Here is a 13,774-nt window from a genome sequence, read left to right on the forward strand (position 1 = left end):
TAATTGAGAAAAAAAAATTGCTATTTTGAATGTAGAAAGAAGCCAGCAGTGGGAAGAGTGTGGAAGGAGACATCAAGAGTGAGCTGAATTGCTCTGCCTAGAAAAATACCAAGAAGGAAATTGGGAGAGATTAAAAACTGGCAGGTGGGATAGGAAGGTGGGCTTGAGAGATGCATCTGGGTACCTATCTTTTCTGTAAAGTTTAATGTGCACACCTTGAGCTGTGTTTCCATTTAGTTCTGCATAAAAATCACAGAAAAGGCAACAGCCGCAAGAGGTATGAATGCTCAATACTGAAAAAAGTTTAAAAAGCACAAACAGGAAATGCAAGGAGTGCAAGAAGTAACTAAAAGTAATGTTAGCCTTTTCAAAACAACAACGGATAAACCCTAGTAACACGAAGACAGACACGAGTAGTCCTTCATATGTGAGATGGGGTTCAGGCCATTTAATTTAAATTTTATAAGACAGGGTTGTTCCAGAAAGCTGAAATATTTAGGTACATCTGGGTGACATAAATGTTTGCATAGTATCTCTGTTAACGTAGCACTTTTCACATTTCATCCTCACCAAAATCCTTTTCGGTATTATTATTAACTCTATGTTACATATAAAGGTGCTGAGAATCAGGGCAGTTCATGCTACTGGTATGTGATGGAGCCAGAGAGATCAAAATAATTCTATTTTCTTTCCACTGAATCCCAGCAGGTCAAGAAAACCAATAGTTTTCTAAAACAAATTCCATGTGAACTAAGTTACCTATCATCTGTGAATATTTTATCCTGTAATTGGATCCAGGTATGATACAAATTTTGTTTCATCCTTTTTAAAAAAAGTGTTTTGGAGAACATATTATATTTGATGTTTGGAAAGCCCAGAAAATAATAAAGGAAAAATTCATTCATTATTCTCATTATTCAGAGATAGTTTATAAAGTACAGAAAGAGAAAGACTAGACTATCTATCACTCTAGGTCCCAGATTCCATAGCAGAGCTCTAAGAGAGCAAGAAACAAAAATATTAATATTACTACTGGAACTATAAATTAGTGAGAAAATTAGTCCTTTAAATGCTCAGTTGTTTAAGCAATTAAATCCCTTTGGGGGTGGTAACAAATTTAGTGAACTGTCACCTTAGAAATGAGTGATTCAAGCCATTTTTAGGAACATAGAAACTGCTGCAGGCTTTGGAACATCACAGACTTTGGTTGGAAAACTGGTTAGAATATCTAGTCTGTCATGTACTTTGTAACATTTTTTAAAATTTTAACTTTTATTTTAAGTTCAAGTGTACATGTGCAGGTTTGTTATGTAGATAACTTGTTGTATAGATTATTTTGTCACCCAGGAATTAAGGGTGGGGTTTGTTGTACAGATTATTTTGTCACTCAGGTATTAAGCCTACACCCGTTAGTTATTTTTCCTGATCCTCTCCCTCCTCCCAACCTCCACCCTCCAATAGGCCTCAGTGTGTGTTGTTCCCCTCTATGTGTTCATGTGTTCTCATTGTTCAGCTCACACTTATAATTGAAAAATGTAGTATTTTGTTTTCTGCTCCTGCATTAGTTTGCTAAGGATAATGGTCTCCAGCTCTATTCATGTCCTGAAAAGGGATATGATCTTGTTCTTTTTATGGCTGCATGGTATTCCATGGTATATATGTACCACATTTGCTTCATCCAGTCTATCATTGATGGGCATTTAGGTTGATTAAATGTCTTTGCTATAGTGACTAGTGTTGCAATGAACACGCACAAACTATATACATGCAAACTATAGCTTGCAGGACAAATCTGGCCTACCACCTGCTTTTGTAAATAAAGTTTGATTAGAACACAACCAAGTCCATTTGCTTACATCTCGTCTGTGGCTGCTTTCACACTACAACAGCAGAGTTCAGTAGCTGTGATAGAGACCATATGGCCCACAAGGCTGAAAATAATTATCAGCCGGCTTCTTACAGAACAAGTTCTTTTTTTTTTTTTTTTTTTTTAGAGGAAGTTGCCCTCTTGTTGCCAGGTGCAATCTCAGCTCACTACAGCCTCTGCCTCCCAGGTTCAGGTGATTCTCCTGCCTCAGCCTCCTGAGTAGCTGGGATTACAGGTGCCCTCCACCACACCTGGCTAATTTTTGTATTTTTAGTAGAGACGGGGTTTCATCATTTTGGCCAGGCTGGTCTTGAACTCCTGACCTCAGGTGATCCACCTGACTCGGCCTCCCAAAGTGCTGGGATTACAGGCATGAGTCATCACGCCCGGCCAGAAAAAAGTTCATTTATAGGGTATAAGGAAAGGACCTTGGCAGCTGGACTCTATAAATATTAGCTTTTGATATTAGAATATTGTATATAGAAGGGGCATTGCCAAATCAAGGATCAATTTCCGTTGCCTTGGCTTTTTAAAAGGGTTATTAAAGTTAGAAATAATCATAATCATTCCATCTTGCTATACGTCTTGCAAATTTTAGCCACTAGCATAAGAGAAGTCAGACGTTAGTTTGAAAAATCACGCAAAGTTATTATTATTACTGCAAAAACCCAAATGTACTGAGCATATAGAGTAATAACATAGGATTTCCTTTCTGTAAAAATCATGACCTTTGTGATTATGCAATATGATCCTTATTGGCAAAAGATGCATCATGAAAATAAAGACTACCATTTTTTGTTACATAAAGACATTGTAAAATATAAAAGTTTGCAGGTATTATTTTTTCATTACTGTTTAATTGCAACAGTGACAGTAACACTAAGCATTCATTAAATGCTTACTGTTTGCCTGATTCAGAGTTATATAGGCAGTCTATGATTTAATAGGTTCTAAGAGTTGGAATATGATCTGATATTTATTTTCTTCAGGTATCTTTATATTTTCTAAAAGTTTACAATCGTCTTCTGTGTTTTATAATTAAGAATAAATCGAAGCACTTTTTTACAAGTGGAAAGAAAAGCAAATCTAGCTACTGAAACTCACCAAACTTATACCTGCCTCAGCTTTCGTCATTAAAATTTGGGGGAGAATGCTAAAGGCAGCCAAAGACAAAAATAAACGAGAAAGGAGACCAATAGTGGAGTTACAGGTTAAAAAAAAAAAGGCAAGAAATAGGAATAAAAACAGCGGCCTAAGGAAACTGAAAATAATAAGCTAAATAATAATGATAATGACAATGATAATAAGCAGACCCAATGTGAGAAAAAGAAAAGATTTGAAGTCATACACTATTTCGAGGGCAATAACCAAGCAAAAAAGGAAAGGAAATACAATTCATACAAATCACAGAGTTTGAAGAAAGCCATGAAAACATATTTGGCTTCATCAGTAAGTGCAGCAAGAAGCTAAATGAAGGTAGAATAAAAGACTGTCAGAAATCAGTTTAGTAAGAACATGATTGATACAAGCAATCTGAAGTTGGAAGGGAAATATATTATTTTCCATGTTTGTATTCTAAAGAGAACTGCCGTATGGCTAGATGAATGGAATACAAGACGTGTAATATATAATTGAGAATAACTTTTATATTCCACACATCTGAGAGAGGAATGAAAGGAAGGTGGACAAATTCCATAAGCTATCATCAAATACCTTACCATTCAAAAGAAATCTCAAGTGGTTTCTTCGAAGTTGATGAGAAGAAAAAACAGGTTTCCACTGGCCACGAACTAAAGAAAAAATCCCCACCAATTATACACTGACGAACCAAAAATATGAAGGCAGATCTAATGTGGGGGACTGTCCTAGTGTCAGGGCTGAAAATCCTACTAAACCCTTCAGACTAGGGCAAACCCTTAGTAGTCAGGTCCTATTGCCAATACTCATACCCAGTCTTAGGAAAGAGACCCACTAAGCAAATCACCTGCTCATTAACAGGGACTATCATACCCACAATGCTCACTACCTTAATGCCCAAACATACAGATAACCCTGTCTTCTCCTAGTCAAAGGTGGCACAGATAAGGACACAGTAGTCATGAGCTTTTGCCCACAGTAAACTGGATGATTACTGAAAGAAAGGGAGGCTGACAAGGAGAGCCTGTGATTAAGGTAGAAAAGGTTTTCAACCAGGGCCCTTTCAAGCAGCACTGAGAACATTTCAGCTTCTTCCTTCCAGCCTTGGAGAGGAAAGTACACACACACACACACACACACACACACACACACACACACACACACACACCCTATCTTTTTTTTTCTTTTGACTAAAGACAGATGATGACATGGTTGACCAGTATTCACACACACTCAAAGAAGTTAAATGCTTTTTAGCTGACAGTCATCTCAAATCCTTCTAGAAAACAACACAAAATACTTTATGTGATTTGCTGGTCACTTCACTGTTTAGCCCTTGTAAAATCATGAACCAAAGTTGTGTCATACTTTCATCTTTCTTTACCTAAAAAGTAAAGTTCTCAAGTTGATCCACTCCTACCTATGATCAGGCAGAACCAGTAATAACTGAACAAGTATTTATTACCTTAACAGGAGTATGCTGTATACTACTTTCATTATTTCATTAATACATGCAAACATACACACACAAGAAAATAAATGTATTATAATTAATTGCACTTTACAGGGAAAGAGACTGTGACTTAGGTTAAATAACTTGATCTCCTTTCATAGCTAATAGAATTAGAAACAGAATTTGTGTCAGGTCAGCCTGGTTCCTGAAACATGTCTCCTTAATTACTCTGCCCTACTGTCAAAAAAAAAAAAAAAAAAGGAAAATATGTTTGCTTGAAAAACAGGAATTCTCAGATTCCTGACTGAGTTTCAAGAAGAAAAAAGTGAAGGAAGAATTTCTCCGTAAGATGCCTTAGACTTCATTATACAGTATTATGTTAATGGTACTTAGTAATTTATTTTCTAAAGGCTAAAGTGAGAGGAATTTGAATGCTTTTACTTTGTGAGAGGTGAAACTCATTACCTATCACAGAATATAAAAACTGTTATTGTTCCAAAAAAATTTAGAGGCATTCAGGAAAGTAATGAATTCTAATTCAACAGGTTATGCCAGGTAAAACTAAGAGGGTCCATTCTTACATGCATAATGATTGACTATATAATCTATGTTGTATAAAGGTTTGTTTAATTTTTCAATGAAGCACTTTTGACTCACAGTCTTCAGCACTTTATGTATGACAGTAGGGAGTTTTTTTTTTTTTTTAAAGAATATTTTTGTTTGCTTCAGAAAAACTCAAAACCTTGTTAGGAATAAAATATACTTGAGAAAAAATCTGAAGAGCAATTTTAAATCAACAATATGTGCAAATTAAGACAATCAGAATGCATAATATAGTCATTATACTAGTTGAAAAAAATCTCTTTTTAAAAATAACCACAGCATCGTAGGCAGTACAATATGAAATACTACAAATACAATATTCTACTGGTACCAAATTAATGACCTGCCACAAAATGAATGGGGAAAAAACTAACCAGTTCATGTTTTTGTTCAAGCACAATGAATCCTAGAACTGAACAAATATTAATTAGCAATTTAAGTCATAAAAAGCAAATCAGTTTTATTTGTCATGTTTGTAAAGCTTAATCTCTGACTTCACCATGTCCTGTAATGCATTCATCTTATCTAACCTCCAACTCTTTTGATAACCACATTATATTTTTGCAACACTCACATTAACATAGTTGCATCAATGGCTAAATTATTTCCCCTAGAAAGCATGACTCTCTAATGCTCACACTAATGCTCGTTCTAACATTTTCCTTACTCGAACTTTTGAGAGGTGTAATGAGAATCTCAGTAGATTCAATTGTGTGCTGGATGTGCAATTATTGGGATCTTTAGCATATATGCAATAAGTAAATAAGCACTGAAGGATCTTGCTGTGAAGGAATAAAAGTAAAATAAATGATGGAACCACAATTGAGGAAACAGATTATTTCTCACCAGGTGTTGTGGGAATATGGAAACACACTGTAATTTTTTTTTTTTTTTTACTGCTTACTCTTCGAAACAATTGGAAAATGCCCCAGGAATGACATTAAGACAAATAATTTATGCCACACAAATCATTAAACTATAAGAAACTTCATTAAGTAGCTTCCCATTGGTAGCCTGAAATAAAACAGCTGGCATGACTGTTGGATATTGAAGAAAATATAAAATTTCTTTTGCAATTAAAAAACCCCCCTTCTCCCAGATTTATAATGAGTTACTTTATTTAAAGTGACCTGAGGAAAAAAAACAGCCAAATTGATGCTGACAATTGGGGTCTGAGAAAAATCCAATGAGATGTTCGCTCTAAAAAGTCCCTGGATGTTTTATGGTAACAATGATAGTTTACATTTACTGAATGCTTACTATGTGCCAAATACTATTCTTAATGTTTTACTTCTATTAACTCATTTAATGTTCATAGCAACCCTGTAAGTATTATTAGGACTGGCTACATCATTCAAGAGGCCCAGTGCAAAATGGGAATGCACAGTCCTCTGTTCAAAAAGGATGAATCTTTTTTTCAGCATTTCTCCTAAGCTATTATGTTGTTTTTATTTGCAATTTAATGCTTTGCTCCTTTGTACCTGGAAAGCCAACTCTGAGTCTTGTCTTCATTTTAAAGATGAGGTAACTGGGGACAAGGAATCTAAAACATTCATCTGGACAAAGTCCACGGAGGGCACATGATGCAATCCGAGCCAATGACACATCAGGAGGCATCGCTGGGAATCCTGGGGCGAAGACAGACTTTTCTCATTTGACTTTAACATGGGAGGATATGATATGAGTTCTGGAGCTGCTGCCACCATTACCCTTTTGTATGAGGCTGATCCTAAAATCAGTAAAGCAGAAGACAGAACCAAACTGAATCTCTGATATGGTTTTAAATTATTGGTCAAGATATATTTCATTTGGTTTTCTCAATTACATTAGCCCCAACATCCCATCTGTGATTGATTCCAGCTTGAGTTGGGTTTTAGGTTTATTACAGACAGAAAAATGCCCCCCCATTCCACCCCACCCCACAAAGATGTCCAGGTGCTAACCGCCAGAACCTGAGACTATGTTACCTTGCACGGCAAAAGGGATTTTGCAGATGTGATTAAACAGGATCTTGAGATCAGAAGGTTATTCTAGATTATCCAAACGGACCCAAAATAATGACAATAGTCCTTATAAGAGGGAGGTACAAGGGTCAGGATCAGAGAAGAAGATGTAATGACAGAAATAGAGGTCAGAGTGATTTGGGTATTACGACGCAAAGAACAGGGAGAGCCTCTAGAAGCTGGAAAAGGCAAGGAAATGTATTTTCCCCTATATGCTCTAGAAGGAACCCTCTTGATTTAATTCAGATCTTTGACCAGAACTATAAGATATAAACTTGTGTTCTTTCATGTAACTTAATGTGTGGTAGTTTGTTACAGCAGCAATAGGAAACTAATATACCATTTATTTCAGAAAGAGTCCTAACCAACACATATTTATACCAGGATACTAGGTAGAAGATCATCATTTATTTAAATATAAAAGAAAAGAAGAGCTTTCTGTTGGCAACACAGACATAAATTTGTTTTCCGTATCCTATGTCCTTCTATCAAAATAAGCTGGTAAGAAAGTGGTTATCTTAATAGCCATTTCACTATTAGTATTTTATTATAATTTTGCCCAACACTCAAGGTTTTTTTGTTTGTTTGTTTGTTTGTTTGTTCTCAAGAATTTATGGCCTGTACTACTCTCAGAACAAGCTGTGATATCTGTGATTAAGTCACTATGGGAGCTTCTAAAGTTTCAGAAACAGACTCATTAGAACAGGCATTCTCAACCTTTGTTCAGCTCGCTACACCCCGGAGGGATAGTACACACACATCAGAAACAGTAAATTTCAAGTATGTGAGCCTGCTCCCATTGTGAATCTCATCATTAGCAATAACTGCCTTATTGTAGTCTTCGCATCAACAGGAGAGCAGAGAGCTGTAGCGTTCCATCTTTGCTAACTTGGCTGCAGAAGAAAAGTGCAGCATATTTATGTGTTGGAAACTTATCTTAAGTGTTAGCCATATTCCCTGCTGGGAATATCTGGAGGATTATTCCTGGAATCTCTGCTAAGAATATATTTGTATGAAGGATGCATAAGATTGCTAATAAAAACGTCATCTTCAGGGAAGAGCTCCCTATGAGTTGTGAGAGGAGAGAAGCAATTCTGATTATAGCATGGAGTGTGTCACTCAGATTTGTGCTCTAGCCCATCCCCATGGGCTAGAATCTGGTTCTGGAGATGAAGAAGCTACAACTCCAAAAAGATTGAAATGGCAAGAAGTATCTTTAGAGGAAATAAACATGAGAAAGTACTAAGATAAACTGGGGCACTGGGACTGGCAATGAGGATTCGGTCTTCAGCAGAGAGCCTTGTGTTACTGTTTTCCTACACTGATGGCTAAGTACCTTAGCTCCAGCAAGGATGGGATCCAGCTTCCAGGGGGACAAATAACAGACACCTCCAGAGGGTTGGTGGCCCTACTGGAATGCCCAGGGCACACAGCTCCGACAATGGCAGGATCCAAGACAGAGCAGGCAAAGAAGACAAGGCCATTCTTGAAGAGGACTAGGGGAAATGGATGATTTCAGCATTATCTGATGGAAAAAAGAGCCAGGAAAATACAGCTTCCTACAGTTTGTGTGTCTCAATGTTTACTTCCAAGGACAATTTAGGTTAAATAAAACACAATGGTTGATGTGTTTATTTTTATTTTATTCTAATTTACCTTTTCCGTATTCACACAAGTAGCCCAAGTCTCCTGCCTCTTCAATAACCCCCTTCCCCCATCACACACACACACACACACACACACACACACACACACACACACACTCTTATTTGAGTCCTTGGTTTGGCTTTTGGCCATTCATACTAGTTTATGATTTCAAGGAGAACTGGCATAAATTGTGAGGGGCAAGGAAGAGAACTTCTCTATCTGCTCCAAGGGTGGAAATGGATAAAGATTGTTAACAGTGAGGCAGGAGAATTTGTCCACATTTGTTCAGAGACACTTTACACATTTCAAGGCAGAGGGAGAAAGTGGCAATGAGTAGTTGTGTGTTGTTAAAGGTTGGTTGACGGTAGGGAGCAAAAAACGATGGGGAAAGACATATAATATATTTTTCCATGTGTAAAATAAATTTATTATTTTAGTAATAATGAGGTAACACCCTTGCTTGGTCACAGTCTAGTAGTACAACATGAGGCCCCTAAGACCATGTCTGTAGGAAACAAAGAGGTATCTTATCAGGCAGTGAAAAAGAAGAGAAAGCCAAGAGTAAATGTTGCCTGAGGACCCAAAATGGTGTCCTTTCCTCTCTGATTTATTAGTAAACTTTTATTTTCCTACATCTTGAGTGCTTAAAAATAGTTTTCCAAATGAAAAAAAGAGTGAGAGAGAGAAAGAGATAAAAGAAAAAGGAAGGAAAAGGAAAGTAGGAAGGAGAAAGGGAAAGAAGGAAGGAGGGAGGAGGATTAAGATGGCCTCAACATTCCCCTCAACTTGACTAAACTTTAGATAGGCCTCTTCCTGTCTATAGGTCCCAGATCTCCTTTTCTTACAGGATTTACTTCAGAAAACTTGCAGTTGTGAATAATTTCTCTGCACCTTTGAGATGTAAATCTTTTAGAACCCAGGAATGACTTTCACAAGAACCTGGGAGCCATCCCTTTGATATATAACTATTAAGAAAGATACGGCCCTTATCCTTTAGTCTCTGTTGTAAGGTAAGAGCCTAACTTTGATAAGAGACAACTAGCAAACACAGATAGTCTAATCACACTAACCAACCTCCTCACTAACTGTCCTGTAGCACTTTTCCATTAGATTGCCCAGCATTTAAACATCCTTCTGCTTTTTCTCTGAGCAGAGTTGAGTTGAATTTTTCTCTTCTATTTATTAGCCTTGACCCCTATTGCAATAGTTTTAAAGTCTTCTTTGCCTTGACTGTTCCGGTGCAGATTTTCTTTTATTAAAGGAAGAATCCTAATTCATAATTTAAAGGTCTGGGTTACATATTCCATAACTTTGGCTTTGTCCTTAGCTCTCTGCATTCAGTCTGCTCTCATCTAATTGAAATGTTGTCTGGGTTTAGTCCTACCTGTTTCTCTTAAAGGCTAAGTGAGCTGCATCTTTAGAGTGAGTGTAAGAAATAGAATTAGAAATAGGCAACATTTCAACCAAGCGGAGCCCTCAGGCTCTCCTTTGTTTTACCTTTTCTCTGGGTATCTGCCTTGTCATCAGCCCCCTTTCATTCATTTCTTTAGCAAGTATTTATTCATCATATGTTTTATGCCATTCACTATAATAAACATCAGATATCCTCCACCAAAACCTAAATAGGTTGACATTAAGGTACATGCTTTTGGGGATCAGGATATTACATAATCTCTTAAGGGTATATGTGTTTCTATAAAAATAACACATTCTTAACCAACAGAAATGACAACCTAACTGAGTTATTAAATCAGTCAAGGGATAGTGAATATTTGAGAGGCAGTTTGCATAAAATACCTGTCTAAAAAACACTGTGTACGCAGTCATGTGTTTGACCCTTTCATCAAAGGGAGACACTATTACCCATTATTAAAGATGTCTACATTAGTGACAAAAGGTCTGGAGGCATTTTCCTATAATGCCCTACTGTCTTGAATTTATTCCTCTTATTTTCTATGGCAAGGAAATGAGAGTGGTTATCAGCTTGGCATTTTGTTGATTAAATCAACTTTCCACAGCACTGTAAGTCAAAAATATTTCCCCCCAAAGAATACCTTTAATAGCCTATCATTCATGTGTAAGGAAAGAAATAAAGAAAAGAAAAAATAAAGCTACATTTTGTAAGAGGAAGATAAAATTCCATTGTGTTCAAGTATTTCAAGCATAAAACCTTCTGAAATCCACTGTCATCTAATCGCCCTGCTCTATGGGAGTAAACTGTTCCCTGTTTGAAAAACAATTAACTCTTTCAGACCTCAAAGGAGAGAACAGTGTTGTTTATCACTCAGCTTGTAGATGAGGCTTGAGGTGTTTAGGACTTTAATACATCCAATTATCCCTCTTTGGAGTTATTTTCTATCTTTAGGAGGGCATTTTGATGTTTTATGATAGCATTTTATCCAAGGAAGAGAAGAAAATATATTGTAAATATTTGGGTGTTTCACACTGATAGTATCTCTGTGGTTTCAGCAAATGGCTTTGAGATGCTTTGCCACATAATGGCTGTACTCAATACAAATACTAAACCCACAGTACCAAGGGCAATGGAGCAGGAACTTACTCCTTCTATAATGAACCCTAACTATTATTGAAACTCTTTTAAAGACTAAATAAAATAATATTTTAAGCTTTGTAAATGTCTCATTTCTAAGAGTTATTGTAGCAATAATAAATAAGGTGAGAAAGCAGTTTAGTGTAATAATTAAGAGTATGGGATTTAGAGTCCTAGGTACCTGAGATCACATTCAAGCTTCTTCATTTCATCCTTCTGTGACTTTGAATAGGTTACTCTCTAAAGCAGTTTTACTATTCATAAAAGAGGGCTATTAAAACCTTCCTCATTCCTCAGAGTATTATTGAGGGAACAGGGGGAATGCCCAACACGATGTCTGGCACATTGTAGGCATTACATGATTGGCAGCTCTTATTACTGTGCTGATATAGTAAAGTGGTTGTGAAGTTGTCATTCTTTCATAAGATAAACACAGAATTGAAAAATAAGGCAAACTATCATCTTATTAATAACATACTAGACTTCTTAGGAAAGCTATTTTGAGATTTGCTTCTATTAAATGATGTAGAATGGGCTCAAGAGTTCAAGTTCCTTCTGATACCAGCCTCATCCTTGAAGAAATTACAGAATCAGACAGTCTAATCTGATAATACTGAAAACACTTGACTGATCTTGAAAGAATATACTTACGTCAAGATGATGTGAAGCCTCAGGATTTAAAATCCTTGGCAAAAAAAACCCAGTCAGAATAAACATAGGACTTAAAAGAGACAAAAAATGTTTTACATCTACAGTATTCAATTTATAAAATAATTTCTCTACTATGGCAAGATGAGTATAATGAGATGCTGGAGGACAGATTGAGAATATAATGCATGACTCAACAGAATAGCATAGCTGGATTTTGTGGGCACCAGACAAGGTCACTGTGAAAGCCAGAAATGCTAATGTCTCAAAAGTTTATTCTATCATATCTCCAGCACAAAAGAAGTCTCAAGCCACTCTTTTATCAAAATGTGTGTTACTCAAACTCACCTCAGAAGAAGTCTTAAGAAAGAATCTAGGATGGCAGTTAAGAGCACAGGCTTCTACACCAAACTTGCTCAGGTCCAGTCTTCACTCTGCCTCTTATCAGCCATATGACTTTGGACAGGTTTCCTATCCTCTCTGATTTTGTTTCCTCTATTGTAAAACAAGGAATATAAAAAAAGAAACATCAAAGTCAAGTGGCTTTTTTGAATTGAATGAGTTAATGTAAGGAGAGTTCTTAGAATAGTACCTGGCACATAGTTAATGCTCATTTAAGATAGTTATTTTTACCATTTGTTTTTTCTTTTTTATCTTGGCCCCTGGTCTTCACATCTACACAGCTGCCATGGTTACAAAGCAATCACAATTACCTGGTCATACGCCCTCCATTTCCTTTTTTACCTATAGCAATGAATAACTCAGACCTTCCTCCAAAACCTTCAGTGATTTTCAGATAAGAAATTTTTGACATCATCTGTGGCCACATTCCTAGTTGGCTATATCTTGTCTATGTCCAAACTAGTCTTTAAATTCCCAGTGTTGGAATCAACCAATGAACAAAACCAATTTTATACCATGAGCTTAAACCATCCATCCCTATCTCTCATCTTGAATTATCTAGTCTTCTCTATGAGCCCATTTGATCAAACTGTCATCAGTTTCTGCCCAATATAATCTAGACATATTCACTCATTTGATAAGCATTTACTGATCCAGGAAACCTACTAGGTGCTAAGGAACCAGAGCAGTGTGAGCCTTCTGGTGCTGGCTAAGGAAGTAGGCAGCTGTCATGAAATGCATATACATATGGATATTTCCGTTGTATAACCTATCCTCAGAACTCTCCAGAGTTACATCTCTGTGAAAGTAAAACTGCCTGGTTCACAACTCCTGGTTCTCAGGAGGCCATGCTTTCTTTGCACAGCATGACTTTGGATCCTTGGTCACAGGTGATTGCCCAAAGACTGGATCTGGCCCAAGAATAGTTAATCCATAATCTACTTGTTTTTTTTGAAATTATGATCTATTCCATGTAATAAAAAAGATAATTTGGGCCAATAAGTCTTCCCTGTAAATATAAGCCACTAATACTTGAGCCTATTAGTAATAGGAGGTAAAGTGAAGGATGCTGTGAAGGAGAGTTTGGGGCCATGGCAAGCTGTGTTAATTTACACATTAATCACCATCAGTGTTTGATTGCTGGAAGGACTCAAAGGGTTTATTACAGGCAAAGGATATAGTTCAACAGCCGGGGAAGAATATGCATTGACAGAGGTCCAAGGAGCTAAGGCACAGGCCCCTTTGTTCTCCCTTGTCTGATTTGTGTTGCACAGGACTCGCTCCAAACCATCACTGGGGTGTGTGCGAAGCACCTCGGTGCCAGAAAGCCCAAATTCAGCTCATGATGAAGCTCTCAAAGAATAAGCTGTCTGACCAGCCATAATCACTGAAGTCTCCCTGACCTAAGTCATAAATCCAATTATTATGATTAAACAATGCTGACAGGCTGGCATATCCCACTC

General features: G+C 36.9%; 1 long non-coding RNA gene across 2 annotated transcripts in view; it reads right to left on the reverse strand.

Moving 5' to 3' along the window:
- LOC105374822 (uncharacterized) overlaps window positions 1-13,774 on the reverse strand; it is a 30,622-nt gene that overhangs the window by 2,016 nt on the left and 14,832 nt on the right. For both annotated transcript variants that reach the window (XR_940276.3, XR_940278.2), the window contains exons 3-4: window positions 12,258-12,404; window positions 6,542-6,789 (exon numbers count right to left, since the gene is read on the reverse strand). This is a non-coding gene — a long non-coding RNA (uncharacterized LOC105374822). The remainder of the gene's footprint in view (window positions 1-6,541; window positions 6,790-12,257; window positions 12,405-13,774) is intronic.

The sequence above is a fragment of the Homo sapiens genome, chromosome 2 (assembly GCF_000001405.40).
Source record: "Homo sapiens chromosome 2, GRCh38.p14 Primary Assembly".
NCBI lineage: Eukaryota > Metazoa > Chordata > Mammalia > Primates > Hominidae > Homo > Homo sapiens.